This window comes from Homo sapiens, chromosome 8 (genome assembly GCF_000001405.40).
Source record: "Homo sapiens chromosome 8, GRCh38.p14 Primary Assembly".
Classification (NCBI taxonomy): Eukaryota; Metazoa; Chordata; class Mammalia; order Primates; family Hominidae; genus Homo; species Homo sapiens.
In genome coordinates this window covers 66,179,305-66,198,023 of record NC_000008.11, presented here as the reverse complement: position 1 = coordinate 66,198,023, position 18,719 = coordinate 66,179,305, and the positions used below count along the sequence as shown (strand labels likewise).

At 39.6% G+C, this 18,719-nt stretch overlaps 3 long non-coding RNA genes across 3 annotated transcripts, besides 1 other annotated feature; 1 reads left to right on the top strand and 2 right to left on the bottom strand.

Moving 5' to 3' along the window:
- Positions 1-704: 704 nt before the first annotated feature.
- LINC00967 (long intergenic non-protein coding RNA 967) lies at positions 705-5,910 on the bottom strand. The gene is made up of 3 exons (NR_039979.1): positions 5,057-5,910; positions 4,713-4,766; positions 705-1,299 (listed from the first exon to the last, which is right to left on the bottom strand). It is a non-coding gene; the product is annotated as a long intergenic non-protein coding RNA 967 (long non-coding RNA).
- Positions 5,911-9,062: 3,152 nt separating this feature from the next.
- LOC124901954 (uncharacterized) lies at positions 9,063-12,508 on the bottom strand. Its single transcript, XR_007060948.1, has 2 exons — positions 11,131-12,508; positions 9,063-9,192 (listed from the first exon to the last, which is right to left on the bottom strand). It is a non-coding gene; the product is annotated as an uncharacterized LOC124901954 (long non-coding RNA).
- Positions 10,950-11,560: an enhancer, noted in NCBI's record as "OCT4-NANOG-H3K4me1 hESC enhancer chr8:67098699-67099309 (GRCh37/hg19 assembly coordinates)". NCBI's record gives its function as "activates a minimal SCP1, AML or CMV promoter by ChIP-STARR-seq in naive and primed H9 embryonic stem cells {active_cell/tissue: H9 hESC(naive and primed)}" and the evidence as "EXISTENCE:reporter gene assay evidence [ECO:0000049][PMID:30033119]".
- On the top strand, positions 11,376-18,138 carry LOC112268029 (uncharacterized). The gene is made up of 4 exons (XR_002956713.2): positions 11,376-11,463; positions 15,033-15,133; positions 16,143-16,201; positions 18,064-18,138. It is a non-coding gene; the product is annotated as an uncharacterized LOC112268029 (long non-coding RNA).

Below are 18,719 nucleotides of genomic sequence, written 5' to 3'. Positions count from 1 at the left end.
CAGAATCCCAAGTCTCTCCAAGATTCAGTAAGGTGCATGGCTGTATTTATTTCTTTGTTACTGTCTCCTGTGGCTTCCTCCACCTTGTTTGATCAGTCAGCACCTACCCAATGACCCAATGTCTTCCCCCCTGGAAATGTATTGATGTCCTGCATCCACAGTGGGTTCTTATGGTTAAAGAGCTTAGCCTTTGTTTTTAAAAATATCTTAGAAGGATCTTAAGAGGGCACATAAATATGGATGTATGGAGGGGTAATGCCCTATGTTTAAGTAAAGACTCTCTACCCCGCTCCCCAAATTATAAATGAGAAAATGGAGACTCAGGGAGAAGAAGCAATTTGCATACAGTTGCATTTAAAAATAATAAAAAAAAAGGCAGGATTGAAACCCAGTTCAATTGGCTCCCAGTCCACGGCCATTGCCACTAACTTGACTCTGTGGCTTCAGCGTGACGACATTGGTAACATGGCTATTTTCTTCAGAAGTTTCCACTCTTTAAAGGAAAAACAATTCTGAAAAATTTATTGAATTCTGAAAAATAATAAACCCAGGCAACAGTAAAAGTTTTGGGGGAACATTTTACCCTAAGTTTTTGAATTTCTTTTAAAAATAAACCCCAATATTAATAAATGTTTAAAACTGGGATGGTTGAGAGTGGGTGGCTATTATTCTCCATCCTCTGTTAAATGATTACAGATAAAATAATGATTTCATTCATTCATTTATTCAATTTTTTTTAAAAAAGCTATTACGTTAAACTCTTAGGATGAGGACAAGCCTTACAATGGTGTGTGAGTGTGAGTATGTGTTCATGCATACACTCACATCCCTGTGTCTGAGTGTTGTGGGTGTGTGTGATGTCTGTGCATTTCTATGTGGTATGTATTCATATGCATGTGTATTGGGTACACTAAATTTGGGTTTGCACAGAAAAGAATAAACAGAATTGTACTGGAATAGTTTACCTAGTGCTTCCTCTAAGAACAGCACACAGCTCATTCAGTTTTGCTGATTTTCATCCTCTGCATCCACAAAGCACACTGAGGTCTCTCCTATCACCTTGACAATGGGGATTTGACCCCAACCATCTCCACCGCAGTTGGACTGACAGGCAGCAGGTGGTGCTCATCAAAGACAGCTCTGAGGAGGCTTTCGGGCGACACCCAGGTGCCAGGCTGGTGTGAGAGAGTCGCATGACTGGGCTGCTAAAGGCACTGGATCCTAGGCTAGGAGGAGAAAGGGTGCTGTGAACTGGAGTTGCCAGAGATCCAGAAGAGGGACAGCTGCCTGGAGATGAGACTGCAAGGGAGAAAAAGCACAGCTTTAGAAGAAGGAGAGTGGGGTTCAGTCATCTTCTTACCACATGGGCTCATTCATTTTGTTTCTTCAAATATTAAAAATTTGATGATAGAATTTCTGTTTTCTTTTTCAATATCGCCCATAGGGCCCAGCAGATAGTTTCTGAATGCTAGTTGACCAATAGATGTACCCTATTCTCTGTTCCAATAGTACTAACATGAGGATTTCATTCATCAGGCATTCAACAAATAGTTATTGAATGTCTACTTTGTGACAAGCAGCATTTAACTCCAGTTACAACAGTGAACACAACAGACAAAAATCCCTGCCTTTAATGAGGCTTACATCCTTGGGTGGAAGATAACAAGAAATCAGATAATTCAGTGAGATAGAATGTGAGTGCCAAGGAGAACAAGCAGAAAGGGAGAGTTCAAGTGTGCAGGAGAAAGCGGTTGAAAATTTTTGAGAGGGTGGTCCGGGAAGGCCTGAGTGAAGATCTGAGTGAAGGCCTAAAGATTTCCTAGGCTGGAGATGAGAGGAACTTTCTGTTGGGATCACTTTTTATCAGACCCAGCACATCAACACATCGCCACCTACAAAGTGCTTGCTTTTGGGAAACATCTTTCTTTACTTCTCAGAAGAATCCATGTTCTTGCTTTTGTGTTAGCCAATTCCTTCTTGAAGCTCTGGCTCTGCCTCCAGCCCTTACCTTAGTTCAGATAATGACAATTGTAGTTACAAAGTGCTTAACTCTTACGGAAGCACTGGATTCCACCAGCCTGTCTCCTTCAGTATAGTCTGTAGAATATCTGTAGTATAGTCTGTAGTATGTCTGTCTTATGCAGTTGAGATAAGGACTGAGATATGCCCTGGTCTCCTGCAGTACCCTCAGGCTTATTAGGGTGGGGAAAAATTCCACCCTGGTAAATTTGTGGTCAGACCAGTTCTCTGCTCTTGATCTCTGTTTTCTGTTGTTTAAGATGTTTATCAAGACAATACGTGCACTGCTGAACATAGACCATTATCAGTGGTTCTGCTTTTGCTCTTTGCCCTGTGATCTTTGTTAGACACTTATTAGTAGCTCTGCTTTTTGCCCTTTGAAGCATGTGATCTTTGTACCTACTCCCTGTTCTTACATCCCCTTCCCTTTTAAAACCCTTAATAAAAACTCGCTCCTCTGAGACTCAGGCGGGCATCACAGTCCTACTGATATGTGATGTCACCCCTGGCGGCCCAGCTGTAAAATTCCTCTCTTTGTACTCTTTCTCTTTATTTCTCAGCCAACTGACACTTATGGAAAATAGAAAGAACCTATGTTGAAATATTGGGAGCGGGTTCCCCTGATACCTCTTGTTCTTAACATGCCTTGATGTTCTTGCTCTGTCTTCAGTCCTTACCATTGTTCAGATAATGTGAACTGCACTTAGAAATCACTTAACTTTTCCAGAAGCCAAAGTAAGGACATCACGTACATCTACGCATTTAATCCTCACAGCAATACCTCTATGAGGTAGGTCCTGTTTTCCTCATTTCACTAATGAAGAAACTGAGACACAGAGAAGTTCCATGAGCTACGTAGCCACATAACTAATAACCCATAGAGCTGGGATCTGGATCTGGGAAGGCACGGGTCTGTTCATCAAGCTGTTTGACAGCTTCTTTGGCACCTTGGGCTGCTCCCAGCGGACCCACCTTAGTTGGAAGATTTCTGACTGGTGTCTGTGTCCTTGCCATCCCAGCATTGTACCTGGCACACAGTGGACACCCAATATGCTCATTATCATCTTTATTTGACATGTCCATCTAGCCCAACAAGCTTGAGTGTGTTCTCTAAAATATACATCCTCCCATGTATTTTCCCTGTTAAAAGCCCTCATTGACTCTGTCCACCAAGAACCACATCTCAGGTTCAGGAGCAGGCCTTTGCTGACATGTCTAGCTTTACCTGTGAGAGCTTTCCTGTGTGCACAACTTCATACTCTCTAGGAAACCACTTGTAGTTTCTGGAACACTGGGAACTTCCTCACAGCTTTGCTTATGTTGGGAGCACTCTGTCTAGAATGAGCCCCGTTCTGCTGCTCGTTGGCCAGCTCCTGATCCTCTTTCCAGTCTCATGGCAGGCATTGCCTCCTCTGGGAGCTTTTCTCGAACCCTTCCTCCTTCCCCGACCAGAGGTAGATTCCCTCCTCTGTACCTGCAGAGTGCTCACCATAAATGTTGTCTTTAATGCTTCTTCCTCCAGTGGGCAGAGGATACCTCAAAGGCAGCAGGACATTCACCTATTCATTTTTATCTTCACCTCTAGCACAGGCTCTAGGGCATAGTAGACGCTCAGTAAATGTTGGGGTTGAGTAATAACTGTTTTCAGTACTCTCTGGCTGGTTGGCATTCAGAGGTCAGAACCTAAATTGGGGCCTTTCTCTGGATACAAGTGTATCAGCTGAGGGAAAAGTTACAGAAACAGAAGTCACCTGTGTCAGGTTGACTTTGGCAGGGTAACCTTTGCTGCCTGGCAGTCCCTTGGATAATATAAGAAAATTTTGGCAAAACAGTGTTACCTGTGCTTGGCTTTGAGAATCCTCCCAAATGGTGGAGAAATAAGAAGCAAGACTCACAGCAAAGGCAGAATGCTAATCAGCTCCCTGTGTCTTGTCTTGTGTTGGAAGAAAAAGAATCATGCAAATGTTGCCTAATTGTTTACTTCATTATGTGAGCTTGTTCCTCACCTCATTATGCACAGAATTTGCAAGTTGCTTTCTACCTTCCTCCCATTTCAAATAGCTGATCTGAAACTTCATCAAAGATTCATATTAATTAGCAAGGCTCCATATAGCAAATATTAATTTGGAAACTGATGTGAGGCATCAACATCAACTTATAACATCCATTATAGAACGAGAAAGTGCAAATCTTTCCCAGGCCCTAAGATGTGGGGAGGTTTGGCTCTATTTTGAGGATCTGCATAAGCACATTTGTTAGTAGGTTGTAACCATTGCTCCTGGGAATGGCCCCACTAAGGATGGACAGAATGGATGTTGAGCATGGTTTTTACAGAAGAGGTGTAAGGATTAAAATTGATGAAGGAAACCCAGCAGCAAACAGAAGAATTACTATGGATAATGCTCAGGTAAGTTTCCAGGGATGCTCTGGCTGAGCCTGCTGGTTTAGTCTTCTCTTGAACAATATGAGCATAAACGGTGAATATTCCTCATGATCACACCTTGTAGTCAGTGCTGAGGGAAGAGGCAAGCTGGTAGCATGGCATACATATGGGGTTCTCCCTTCACAACCATGTGATACTGTCCCACCCCTCCCCAGATTGAGAAGGAGGAGAGAAAGGGAAAGGAGGGGCTCTTTGGGAACCCCAACACCCCTCCACATATCAGCTGGGAGACATCAGCCAAGTTACTTACCCATTCTGAGCTCCGCTTCTTCTTCTATGGAATGTGGATAATCACTTCTACTTCCTAGCAGAGTTCCAAGAGAGAGGATGAGAGAAAAAAAAAAAAAGAAAGAAAGAAAAGACATAAAACTTCTAGAAGAATCATAAACAAGAGAAGCCATGATTGCACTTTTTTTGACCAAAAGAGAAGGAGCTGTAGTGCCCCAGAGTTCCCAGAGGAAAAGTCTCAGTGGTTAGTTCTGAGAACTGCTTAGCCCCTTTTAGTTCCTGTATTGGTCAGGGTTCTCTAGAGGCACAGAACTAATAGGACAGATGTGTACATGAAGGGGAGTTTATGAAGGAGTATTGACTCACATGATCACAAGGTGAAGTCCCACAATAGGCCGTCTGCAAGCTGAGCAGCAAGGAAGCCAGTCTGAGTCCAAAAACCTCAAAAGTAGGGAAGCTGACAGTGCAGCCTTCAGTCTGTGGCCGAAGATCTAAGAGCCCCTGGCAAAACACTGGTGTAAGTCCAAGAGTCCAAAAGCTGAAGAACTTGGAGTCTGATATTCAAGGGCAGAAGGCATCCAGCACAGGGGAAAAGTGAAGGCCGGCAGACTCAACACGTGTTCTTATCTTATTTTCCAACTTCGGCCAGCTTTTATTCTAGCCACACTGGCAGCTGATTAGATGGTGCCCAACCAGATTGAGGGTAGGTTAGCCTCTCCCAGTGCACTGACTCAAATGTTACCTCCTTTGGCAACACCCTCACAAACACACTCAGGAACAATACTTTGCATCCTTCAATCCAATCAAGTTGACACTCAATATTAACCATCACAGTTCCCCTGGAAGATTTCTGATAAAACCCCAGCAGATACAAATGTGATTGGCATTTTTGTATTTCGTAAAAAACCTAAAACCTCAATTTTCAGCCATTGTTAATGTTTATTCTTCATCTTCTTCTTGGTTCTTAGTCAACTACTTTGCTCAAAGAACCTAGGGGCTTAGTATTGGAGAGTTGATGTGGCTTCAGGGGCTTGACACTGCTTTGGGGATGTGAATGAAACTTGCATGGACACAAGGGCCCTACATTGAGCTATCTCTTTCTTGGTGCCCCCAACCCCATTCTGACCAGGCTCACCTCACTCACTCAGCACCAGGGGGTCAGCCCATATGTGGGAGAATGAGTGCCTCACCAGTACAATGCTCTTTGATCAGGAGCTGCCTCCATGATTAGATGCAGAAATGACAGCAGGAAGGAAACAACAGCTCTTTTAAAGAAATCCAAACCACCCAGCCTCAGGCAGTTTGGTGAAGAAACTTCTCTTTCCCCCGTCCATGAAGAGTTCAAGGGCCCAGGAAGGTGGCTTTTTAAAAAGCACTCCAAAAGCCAAGTAAATATATCTGTGCATTTTCTAAACTAAGACCAGTGGAGTGACATACTGTTTGTAAGTGCTTGAAGGGTATAAACTTTAAAAAGCTGAGAGGGAAGGCTGAAGGGCTGCAGAAGAAACTGTATCTTAGAGTATCTAGTGGAACAAGATGAACACAAAATTATCAAGGAAATTAAGTCTGGAAGAGGCCTGCTCATCTGGGGCTGGCCTCCTGGGAAGGCATGAAGACAGCTGTATCTGTGCTGTCCCCATCTCCTTGTTGCAGGAAGTCAGGGACCCTGAATGGAGGGACCAGCTGGAGCCACAGCAGAGGAACATAAATTGTGAAGATTTCATGGACATTTATCAGTTCCTAAATAATACTTTTATAATTTCTTATGCCTGTCTTTATTTTAATCTCTTAATCCTGTTATCTTCGTAAGCTAAGGATGTACGTCATCTCAGGACCACTGTGATAATTGTGTTAACTGTATAAATTGATTGTAAAACATGAGTGTTTGAATATGAAATCAGTGCACCTTGAAAAAGAACAGAATAACAGTGACTTTTAGGGAACAAGGGAAGACAACCATGAGGTCTGACTGCCTGCGGGGTTGGGCAAAAACAGCCATATTTTTCTTCTTGCAGAGAGCCTATAAATGGATGTGCAAGTAGGAGAGGTATCACTAAATTCTTTTCCTAGCAAGGAATATTAATATTAATACCCTGGGAAAGGAATGCATTCCTGGGGGGCAGTCTATAAATGGCCGCTCTGGGAGTGTCTGTCTTATGCTGTTGAGATAAGGACTGAGGTATATCCTGGTCTCCTGCAGTACCCTCAGGCTTATTAGGGTGGGGAAAATCTCTGCCCTGGTAAATTTGTGGTCAGACCAGTTCTCTGCTCTCTAACCCTGTTTTCTGTTGTTTAAGATGTTTATCAAGGCAACACGTGCATAGCTGAACATAGACCCTTATCAGTAGTTCTGCTTTGCCTTTGTCCTGTTCCCTCAGAAGCATGTGATCTTTGTTTTGCTTTTTGACCTTTGAAGCACATGATCTTTGTGCCTACTCACTGTTTTACACCCTCTCCCCTTTTGAAATCCTTAACAAAAACTTGCTGGTTTGAGCCTCAGGCAGGCATCATGGTCCTACCGATATGTGATGTCACCCCTGGCAGCCCAGCTGTAAAATTCCTCTCTTTGTACTCTTTCTCTTTATTTCTCAGCTGACTGACACTTATGCAAAATAGAAAGAACCTACGTTGAAATACTGGGGGTGGGTTCCCCCCATATCTCAAGCTGGAGAAAAAGAGGATCCTCCAGAGATCCAATCAGGGAGACAGACAAGATTAGTAAAAGGGGAGTTTTAAAACTTATGATGAATAATTCTTTTCTATTACCCTGACCTTAGAAAGAGAGACCAAGAATGGAGTGATAGTAAGGTCATCCAGAAGCAATTAAGTTATAGATAATTGTAATAATAAAAAAAGAATTTCCAGCCAGTTTGCTATGAGTAATAACTCATGTTACCTTAGGAGAATCTGACAGGTCCCTAACAGCCTGTGGTATAATCAAGGCTCCCACCAGGAAGTGATGATGGACTTATTAATCATGAAAGGAAAAAGGTATACATATACTCTTGAATTTTACTTTTAATTAGCAGTTCATTACCAATTACTAATTACTTAATTACTAATCATTTTTAATCATTGTTTTTAACCTCTCCTTAAGATGCAAAATTCCCCTTTAAGTGTACCTGTTTTCAGTTAAATTAATGAATTAGACTAAGAATAGGGGTTTCAACAAGGAACTAGTTCTTAAGTGAGCATTTACTAAGAAGAGAAACATTAGCCAAATGGATAATTCCCATAGCAATGGCCTTATTCCTAAGTAAAAACATAGCTTTGTTTGAATAAACATGGAGGAACTTACACATAAAATATATATTGTGTAAGTGAAAAAAAAACAGTCAGAAAAGGCTCCATACTGTGTGATTCCAACTGCATGTCTTTCTGGAAAAAAGCAAAATTACAGAAACTAAAAGGATGAAAGGTTGGCAGGGGCTGAAGGGAGGAAGGGATGAATAGGGGAAGTGCAGGGGACAGTTAGGGCAGTGAAACTCTTCTGTATGATACTGTAATGGTGGATACATGAGACAATGCATTTGTCAAAGCTCACAGAATATAAAATGCCAACAGTGAACCCTAATGGAAACCATGGGCTTTAGTTAATAATAATGCATCAATATTGGCTCATCAATTGAAACAAATGCAAGATGTTAATAATAGGGGAAAACTAAAGGGAGGGGTGGTATGGGGTGGGGAGAAAGAATCTCTCAGAACTGTCTACTTTCTGCTCATTTTTTCTGTCAATCTAAAATCACTGTTATAAAATAGTCTATAAATTGAAAAAAATAATCTTCAATCAACTAGGTGGCTGAAAGCTTCTAATATTAGAAGAAAAACCTAGTGAGTATATTTATCTTATTCTTTTATTTCATTAATAAACACTTATTGTGACTGAGCACAGAATGGTAGGCTTGGAGGACCTGAGATTAGACAGAGTTGCCACCTTCAACAGTACCAAGCAACACATCATTACCCCAACAACAACGACAAATGTTTATTGAATACTTATAACTAGGCCCTGAGTGCACTATCTCATTTACTCCCACAAGAGAAACAAATAAGGGGACTTACATTTTATACTGGTTTGACAAAAAAAAAAAAAGGAAATGAGTTTGGAAAATTTAAATAAATTGCCCAAGGTCACCCAGCTAGAAAGCAAGAGTCAGACCTGTATTCAGGTAGCTTGACAAATGTCATACTTAGAAGTCTAGTGTGTCCCCACAGAAAAGTGTTGTAAAGCTGCTTTGAAGTGCTTTGTTTTTAGTGAAATATTTAAGTAAAGATATTAGAACAAATTCCATTACAGACAAGAATCAGATATGCTGCTTACCTTAATCAGTTCGGGCTGCCAAAAAAAAAAAAAATACCATAGACTAGGTGGCTTCAATAACAAACATTTATTTCCCACAGTTCTGGAGGCTGGGACATCCAAGATCAAGCTGCCAGTGGATCCAGTGTCTGGCGAGGGCCTTCTTCCTAGTTTGCAGATGGATGACTTCTCACTGTATCTTCACATAGGCAAGAGGAAGAGAGATCATCTCTTCTGTCTCTTTTTATAAGGGCACTAATCCCACTCATGGGGTTTCCACCCTCATGACCTAATTACCTTCCAAAGGCCCCACCTCCAAATACCATCACATTGGGGATTAGGCTTCAACATATGAATTTTGGGGACACACAAACATTTAGTCCAAGGCACTGTCCTACTTCAAAAAGCAGAATAGCACTTTTATAGAATAAATCTATCAGGTTATATAATTGTATTTCTCCATTCAAATAAAAAACATCCCTTTATTACAAGTATCATTTTCTCTGGAAAGATAAAAGTACATTAGCACAAGGCAGAACTTTATAGCTATTAGGAATTACAGTACAAAGAAAACAAGTTGAAAAATGAGGTGAGGGTCAAATATGTATCTATATTTAACTTTATATAAATTGGAGAATTAAACATCACTGCTGCTTTGCGCGGTTAAGTCTTTTCCTATTATCCTGGCAATGTTGTTGCTCAGATCACTCCTAAAATGCAAAAAGAATAGTGACTGTGGAAAATCAGATCCTTTCTTTTTCAGACATAGGTTTCCCACAATCACACTTCAAGGACTCATTGGCTTTCACAGTTATAAGACCATCTTGAATTGATGTAGCCTTTCTCCTAAGTAGGACACACATAGTCAATCCCCAACAACAAATATGTACCATGCATAAGCAGTATATTAGGATTCATGGACTAAAAGAAGTGGGAGGTAAGTTCATAAATGAACTGGAGGACAGACAGATAAACACACACACGATCAAAAATAACTAGCTCTCAAAATGGAAAAGAATGTTCTACAGATGGATAACAGAAGCCTTGAAGATGAAAAGATCTTGTTCCAAGGTTTGCGAAAGGTCTGAACCCACAACCTGTAACATCTTTGAAATCCACAGCTCCTGAATGTTGGCCTCCCAAGTTTCTGTCCACCTCTGTAGCCCTCATTGCTTGCTCTTTCTTGAATAACTGAGTTTCCCTTATGAAAAGCCCAACTTCATCCATTGCAACCAATTTTGTCTAGGACACGCCTGCCTACTCTAAGAGGGTTCTCCTTTGCAAGGTAGGTCCATGGATTTCCACTGGGCTACATTTCTGTAAAGACCAACTCCTTCCTCTGACCAGGAACTTTATAGCTATTAGGAATTAAAGTACAAAGAAAACAAGTTGGAAAATAAGGTGAGGCTCAAATATGTATCTATATTTAACTTTATATGAATAGGGGCATTAAACATCACTGCTGCTTAGGGCCGCTAAGTCTTTTTCTATTATCCTGACAATGCTGTTGCTCAGATCACTCCTAAAATGCAAAAAGAATAGTGAATGTGGAAAATCAGATCCTTTCTTTTTCAGACATAGGTTTGCCATAATCACCCTTCAAGGGTGATTATGCAAACAGAGTTGACCATTTTATGCATGGTAAGCAGAGGTTTGGCAGCTTCTTGTTTGAAGGTGACCTTTCCCAGGGCAGGTAATCCTCAGAAGCAGTGAAAACAGACAAGTTTCCATACCCTGGGACCCTCTCTTCAAAGGCAAACAGTGACATTTAAAATTTTCTCCTTGGAGTGGTAGAAAATTACTAGTAGCTCTAATCATGAACTTAAATATCAAATGGTAAAGAAAAAAAAGTCTAGCTGGACTCCTCATAAAATGCCTTTGGGCTTATTATATTTCCCAGCTAGTCCAATGATATACATGTTCTGTGGTCAAATGAGTCTGGGAAATGCTAAAGACTTAGGGATTTACACTGCTGAATAAAAATTTAAAAACACTAACAAATTCTGCAGTAAAATATGAATTTAGGTTTTCTTTAACTTTTCCCTTCCCTTTTTATGACACCAGCAACATTCCTAGGAGGCTTCTTTGGGAAGGAACTCTTTCTTCAGAGTTAAGTGATGTTCATGAATATAAATACCTGTTTGGGGGTGCCTGGTTGATGAATTTCTTTTTTCTGAGCAACAATTGTAAGATGATTAGTTCCTGTAAATTGTCTTTCATGACAGAAAGTTCACACACATCCTTTCACTGCCCTCCATCCATTACCTGGAGTCTCAAACAGAACAATCAATGTATTATGATGTAAATAGAAAGGGCAATCGTGTCTGTCAAGACCAGGGCTTGTAAGAGAAGCAGAAACGTGCTGGTTTTCTGATGCTCTGAGTCATCTTCCCAGGGTCAGTTACTTCTCAACTTATGGAAAAATAGATGCACAGGTAACAAAGTCCTTGCCATTTTCTCAGGAAAGGAGGTAAGACACTCAGTGATGACTCATGGGTGCTGACAGAATTTTTGATTGATGGGGAACTTTCCCCACCAAACCGTGGACAGCGATGTGGCTGCCCACTGGTAGAGAGTCCTGGGCTCCTGGGATGCTGCCCTTGCCTTCCGCACCTCCTGTCATCCTGGGCCTGTGATGCTCATTCTGCAGAGGCCCAAGGCTAATAACCCAAAGACCATAAGTCTCTTTTCTGCCTTCTTGCCCCACCAATGTACCCTCCATACTGCATTCAGAGGGGTCTTTCCAAAATGCTTGTGTGTTTACCTCTCATTTCTATGAGACTCCATTAAAATGATAGTATAAACCCAAATGATGAAAATAACAGGATAACGTAAGCAAGTGAGAGGGTTTAGCAAACTTCTGAAATAATGAGAGCAGAGAAGATGGTGTTTGAGGAAGAAAGGGAGAGAAAGCAGCTGTAAGGGGTCCACAAAGGGACAGGAAGGAGGAGGACAGAGAAGATGCTGTGTCTCCAGAGGAAAATGCAGATGAAGAGGCTGTAGGAGGCAGGCAGCTGAGGGAGGAGTCCATCTGCAGAGCCTAGGAGGGGCTCAAGGCTCAGAACCTCCAAGTCTCGCCAAAGACAGGAGTGAGAAAAGGGTCAAAAATACGGAGAATACCTGAAAGTTTATATATGGAAGAGTCAACCTCTCCACCAACTTTTCTCATCCCATGTGAAGAATGCCAGACATTCAAATGTCTGCCTGTTAGGCAACAAGCAAATAAAGAAATAAACATTGCCAGGTATACTGTTATTGGCCTAAATGTGTCTCCTAGATGTAGAAAAATTCACATGTTGAAGTCCTAACTTCTCATATTTCAGAATGTAACTGTATTTGGAAACAGAGCCTTTAAAGAGGTAATTAAGGTTAAATTAGGTCATATGGGTTATCCCTAATACAATATGGCTGATGTCTTTGTAGGCAGAGAAGATGGAAGCAGGGACATGCACAGAGGAAAGGCCGTGTGAAAGCACAGGGAGAAGATGGCCAACCACAAGCCAAGGAGAGAGGCCTGGGAAGAAAGCAACTCTGTTGACACTTTGATCTTGGACTTCTAGCCTCCAGAAGGGAGAAAATAAATTTCTGCTGTTTAAGTTATCCAGTCTGGTATTTGCTATGGCATACTCAGAAAACTAATACATACATTTTTCTTAAATAAAATTGAATGGCTACAGAGAGGAATTCTCTACAATATGACATTCATGGGTATCCCAAGTAAAGACTAGCTCACCATGTGATCACCCTGGAAGGAAGGCTGCTTGGCGAGAAGCAGGCTCCTTACCCTGCATATAGAGTTCTTCATCAACTTTGTACTGAATAATTATTAAACATGAGGGTGCTACCAATCATACACAGGGTCGCCTTCAGGGATTTCACAAAGATCTCCAGCATAAAATTGAGAAATTAAGATAAATAAAGATTTTTAAATGACCACAGATGGAAGAGATAATTCAGGGAAAGAAAGAAAACTTAGAAACCTTCTAGTTAACATTCTTAAAGAAATAGGAGAGAACATTCCACTGTAAAGCAAGAACAGGAGTTATTAAAAAGGAATGGAGAAAGAATAAAAAGTCTGGAGGTTGAATATACAGTTGTAAAATGAAAGTAACTGAAGAGCTGGAAGATATTGAAGAATATCTTAGAAAGCAGAATCGCAAACTAAAAGTTCTAACATGACAGAAAATAGTAAACACAGATGGCCAATAGAGGGGAGAACATCTCATAACAGAAATCCCTAAAAAGAAAGAATAGAGAAAATGGAAAAAATTATAATATAAATAATACAGGAGGTTTTTTTCACCATTGAAGAGTAAGAACCTCAAAATTAAAATGAGTACATGAAAAAAAGACCCAAAGACCATTCTAAAATTTCAGAACATCAACAAAAAAAGAAGAGACTAAAAGCTTCAAGAGAGAATAAGAAAAAAGGTCCTATGAAAAATGAGAATCAGGCTGGGCATGGTGGCTCACTCCTGTAATCCCAGCACTTTGGGAGGCTGAGGTGGGTGGATCACTTGAGGTCATGAGTTCAAGACCAGCCTGGCCAACATGGTGAAACTCCATCTCTACTAAAAATACAAAAATTAGCCAGGCATGGTGGCACATGCCTGTATTCCCAGCTACTTGGGAAGCTGAGGTAGGAGAATCGCTTGAACCTGGGAGGCAGAGATTGCAGTGATTTGAGATCGCACCACTACACTGTCCAGCGTAGGCAGCAGAGTGAGACTCCATGAAAAAAAAAGAAAGAAATAAAAGGAAAATTAGAATGATACTGGATTTCTTATCAGCAGCACTGGATAATACAACACAAGAGAATAATACTTTAAGTTCTAGAAGAGAATTATATTTAACTTGAAATTATATACCTTGGTAAAGCATCACTCAAATATCTGGGTAAAATATAACAATTTTCAGGAATGCAAGGAGTCAGAAAACATGCTTCTCATACATCCTTTCCTAGAAAGTTACCGGAGGATGTTCTCCAGCAAAATAAAATTCAGAAATCAAAAGGGAAAAAGTCCTGTGATTCCGGACAGGGAATTCAATCCAGGGAAGAAGAAAAGAGAAGTCCCAGGAAGAAACCTATGCATCAGATTTAGAAAGTAACTAGTTTGAAAGCAGCAGGTTAGCATGCTCAAGGATCAAGGTCTTAAAAAGAGGGGGAGGACTTAATAGATTACTTATCATGATTGAAAATTTGAAAAAATATGAGAACAAAATTAAGGCAGTTCGTAATTCTAGGAAAAAACCAAACTGGGATTATAAAAAATATAAAAGTGTCAATTGAAAATTGTAGAAAAAAAAACAAGATAGGAAATGTAATCAGAGTCTATGATCTTATTCTTCAGTGAACAACTTTCATAGTCAATAATTAAAAACTATATTGACTTCCTACTTTTAGAATCTATCTATCTATCTATCTATCTATCTATCTATCTATCTATCTATCTATCATCATCTGTCTATCTATATCTATCTAGAGCTTCTTGGCCCTTTGGCTAAGATCAAGTGTAGAATCAATTATAGTAAAAGCATAAAAGCATGGGAGATTTAACTATGATTATAAAAATAATTAACGGACAATCTAGAAGTAGAAGTATAGATGAAAGAGACTGAGAGATCAAGGTGCAGGAGGGTGTCTGAAAAGTTGAAGGGATAAATAATCTCATCTTACAATCTGGGAGTTAAGAGATATTGTTTATATTTGAAGACTCAAGAAATAATTCTGTGGGTATATTACTTAAAAGTGCAAGGGTAAGATGAAAAAGAATAAAAAGCAGGTCATTAGGGCAGTGATCAACAATGAAGAATGAATAGAAAATTTGGCACATATTGATGCAATACCATGCAATAAAAAAAGGATTTCACTTGGATATAGGAAAATGCTTGAGATATAATTTTAAATGGAAAAAAGTAGATTATAAAATTTTAACTATAAAATGTTATTTAGTTATGTCTGGATAATATGTACAGTTTATGGGTAATTTTTATACTTCATTCATTCAACAGATTTTCTGCATTTCATTCATTCAACAGGCTTACTGGAAATCTACCATGTTTGGGGCAAGAGAAATGGATATGGCAACTTACAAAGATGATCAAAGCCCTGCTACACAGTTTACTGTCCAGCAAAGGAGGTACATATTGTACCAGTAACTATAACAAAATGTGAGCTTTACAATGAAGGACATTCATGCTATTAGGAAAATATGAAGCACAGGTGCTGAACCTAATATAGGAATCTGGGGAAGATTTCTTCAACAAATTATTTTGCAATGAATTAATTAATTAATGTAAATTGACAAATAAAAATTGTATATGTTTATGGTGTATGACATGTTTTGATATATGCGTATATTGTGGAATGGCTAAATCAAGTTATCAACATATCCATTACCTCACTTACTTACCAATTTCTGGTGATGAGAACATTTAAAATTTACTCTCTCAATTATTTTAAATGTTAAAATGAGAGTTTTTTTTTTAAGCAGAGATTCAGTATTAAGAACATGGTGTTATCAAAATTATGATTATGAGCTCAGGAAAAATGCTCAAGGGAAACAACAAAATATTAATTATCTGTGATGATCTTTAGATTCAGATATTCTGAGGAATTTTATATTCTTTATGCTTTTCTGATTTTTCTAAGTTTTCTGCAAAGAGCACATATGGCTTTGATAATCAGAAGAGACTAACAGAAGTTATTGTTGCCAGTGAAGCAGTTAGATATTTTGCTGTTTGAGGGCCTTTCCTCAGTCCTCCTGTGGAAGCAGAAGGCAGTTACTTAATCTATCTAAAGAACAGTTACAAACAATTACCAAACCACCTGTCCACCCTAGGCATTTCTGAAGGCTCTCATTGGAAACAGTAGATTCATTTCAACAAATGTTTCTGTTAGCCAACTTGGAGATGGTGTTTGTTCACCACGAGCTGTGCTAATAGAAGCTTGTGAAGGTACAAGGTGATACAAGTGACAAAAATATGCCCACTAGTTACCTATTATTTCTGATATTTCTTTATTAGACTGTTGTGTTGGCTCTGTTTTAATTTACCTATACCGTATATTATGTAGCCATTGAAAAATATGATTTAAAACATGAAGTAATCCCTGTTTTTGTGCCCATGTTTCTTGGATTGTGTTTTTAGGTTCTAAAAGCATTGAAATTGATTCTCCAATGACTCCTTTCCAGAAGTTATTCTTACATGTAAGATCAGATCTGTCAGTGGTGATTTCTATGTATTTGGATATTTAGTTTATAGCACATTTAAGTTATCTGCATTATGTTATTTCTCAAATCATAGATCTATATTATAATTTTAAGAATCCCTTTCACCCTCCATACTGTATCCAAAGATCACTTTTTTCAAAGGTCACCTAGGCAGAATAATCAAATTAATGCTTTTAATTTGGTAATACTGAAAAGTAAATTGCAATGTATGCACACACAGATTGAAAATCAGGTGCCACAGACATGAGCATGCACAGAGAATTTCTGCATTCTCATGCCTTAGTTTATCAAATAAGGAAAATGTATAAAAAGCTACTCCACAATTGGTGTGTGAATATATTACTTTATCTAAATGCATCTTCTCAGGCCAGGCATGGTGATTGATGCCTATAATTCCAACTGCTCAGGAGTCTGAGGATCGCTTGAGTCCTGGAGTTCTAGGCTGCAGTGAGTATCACAGTGCCTTCAGCCTGGGCAAGAAAGTGAGATTCTAGCTCTAAAATATTTTAAAATTCATCTTTTCACCTCAGTTTGTGTGCCTCTGCTGGAAAAGAAAGTCCAAAGGTTATTGTTACATTATGCAAATAATATGGGCTTGCAATCAAAAGAGCTGGTTCCTAATTCTCACTTTACCACTAACTTGCTGAGTGACTTCAGGTAAGTCACTTAACTTCTCTGGTTCTCATTTAAACCAAGTGATCTCTTTAAGTCATTTCTAATGTGAAAACTGCGTGATTTAATGAGATATACATTTTGGATAATGATATGGTTAGATTGTGTCCCCACCCAAATCTCATCTTGAATTGTAGCCCCCATAATTCCCACGTGTTGTGGGAGAGACCTGGTGGGAGGTAACTGAATCATAAGGGTGGGTTGTTCCCATGCTGTTCTTGTGATAGTAAATAAGTCTCATCAGATCTGATGGTTTTAGAAAGGGGAGTTCTCTTTCACATGCTCTCTCTTGCCTGCCACCATGTAAGACGTGTCTTTGCTTCTCCATTGCCTTCTGCCATGATTGTGAGGCCTCCCCTACCATGTGAAAATGTGAGTCCATTAAACTGCTTTCCTTTATAAATTACCCAGTCTCAGGTATGTCTTTATTAGCAGTGTGAGAACAGACAAATACAGATAAATTGTGGCTGTGCATAGCTTCTCTTCCTCTGGGGTTCAGGAACATTTTTTTCCTTACTCCCTAGTTGGAGCCACTTTGGCTCTATTAATGACTTACCCCAAGAAAACCTCACAGCAAGGACTCAACAGTGATGAGGGAGCTATACTAAAACAATATCCCCCAGATAGCCCAATGGGAGAGAGATTTGTATGGGCATGGGTTTAGTCAGAGCCCAAAACTTGTTGTGTCTTCTCTGGAAGAACCTCCCAGACCTCCCCAGCTAAACTCATAACCACATCCCTTTCCTAGTTTATCTTCTGTGTCCATTTACTGCACTGAAACTTCCTATTCCAAGTCAACGTTTCACCTCCAGATTGACATCCAAGCTGAAATCTGCTAACAGGGTCAGAAAACAGTTCATAAAGGAAAGTAAGCAAAAATGTTGAACCCATTCCAGCTTAATAAAAAAAAAAAAAGCCCACAATAACAAAATCTAAGGTTCTGTGTGCTTTCCTACCAATATAAAACACAGCTTTCTCCCAGAAACTCAACCATTTTCCATAATCATGATCTTCTATTAACAACTCACATCTTTCCAAGTAGGCACATTCTCTCTGTTCTCTTATGTCAAAAGTACATAACATGGTGCAGTGATCCAACTATGGGCTGGCTTCTCTGCAAACTGTCAACATTTCTCTCCCTGCCTTCCCTTTGTTCCTAAGAGCAGTTGTGGATTGGTATAGACCCAAAATGGAAGTTGAAATATGCATTGCATCATTTGTCACATTAGCTACAAAGGAAGCAGCAGAAGTAATCAGAAATGAGGAGCAGGAAATTTCCGATAAACAACTCTGATGGTTATCTGGAAGCTGAATTGAATCACAGGCACAAGAACTTGGAATTGCATTTTGAATTGCAGAATTAGAGGTAACTGCCTCCCACCTATATGATAGTGTCAATTAATCAAAAATTGAATATAGTTTTACAGGCTTAGCATTCCATTCCATTCTGCGACATGTCAGAGAGCATTTATTTATTTAACAGGCTGACATGAAGCACATTTGGATTTGGAAAAAGAAATAATTAAAAAGAACCACCCTGGGTGGCCCAGATGTGGATACTATTATGGATGTTGATAGTATTTGGAGGTGAAATGAACGAGTTTTTTTTTACAGACTCAATATTGACCAATGAAAACATGTAACTAATGAATTTAGCCCTGTAGTCAAGCAGTTTAAGCCTTTTTCAACATAGATTAGGAAGTTAGAATGGATGCCTCTCATTGAGTTTGCATTCAGTAGAATAAGTAAAGCTTGTTTAACTCATGCATCTCTCACTGGCCGCCTCTCTCTTTAATTTGGGAATAGAAAAGGGAGTCCACAA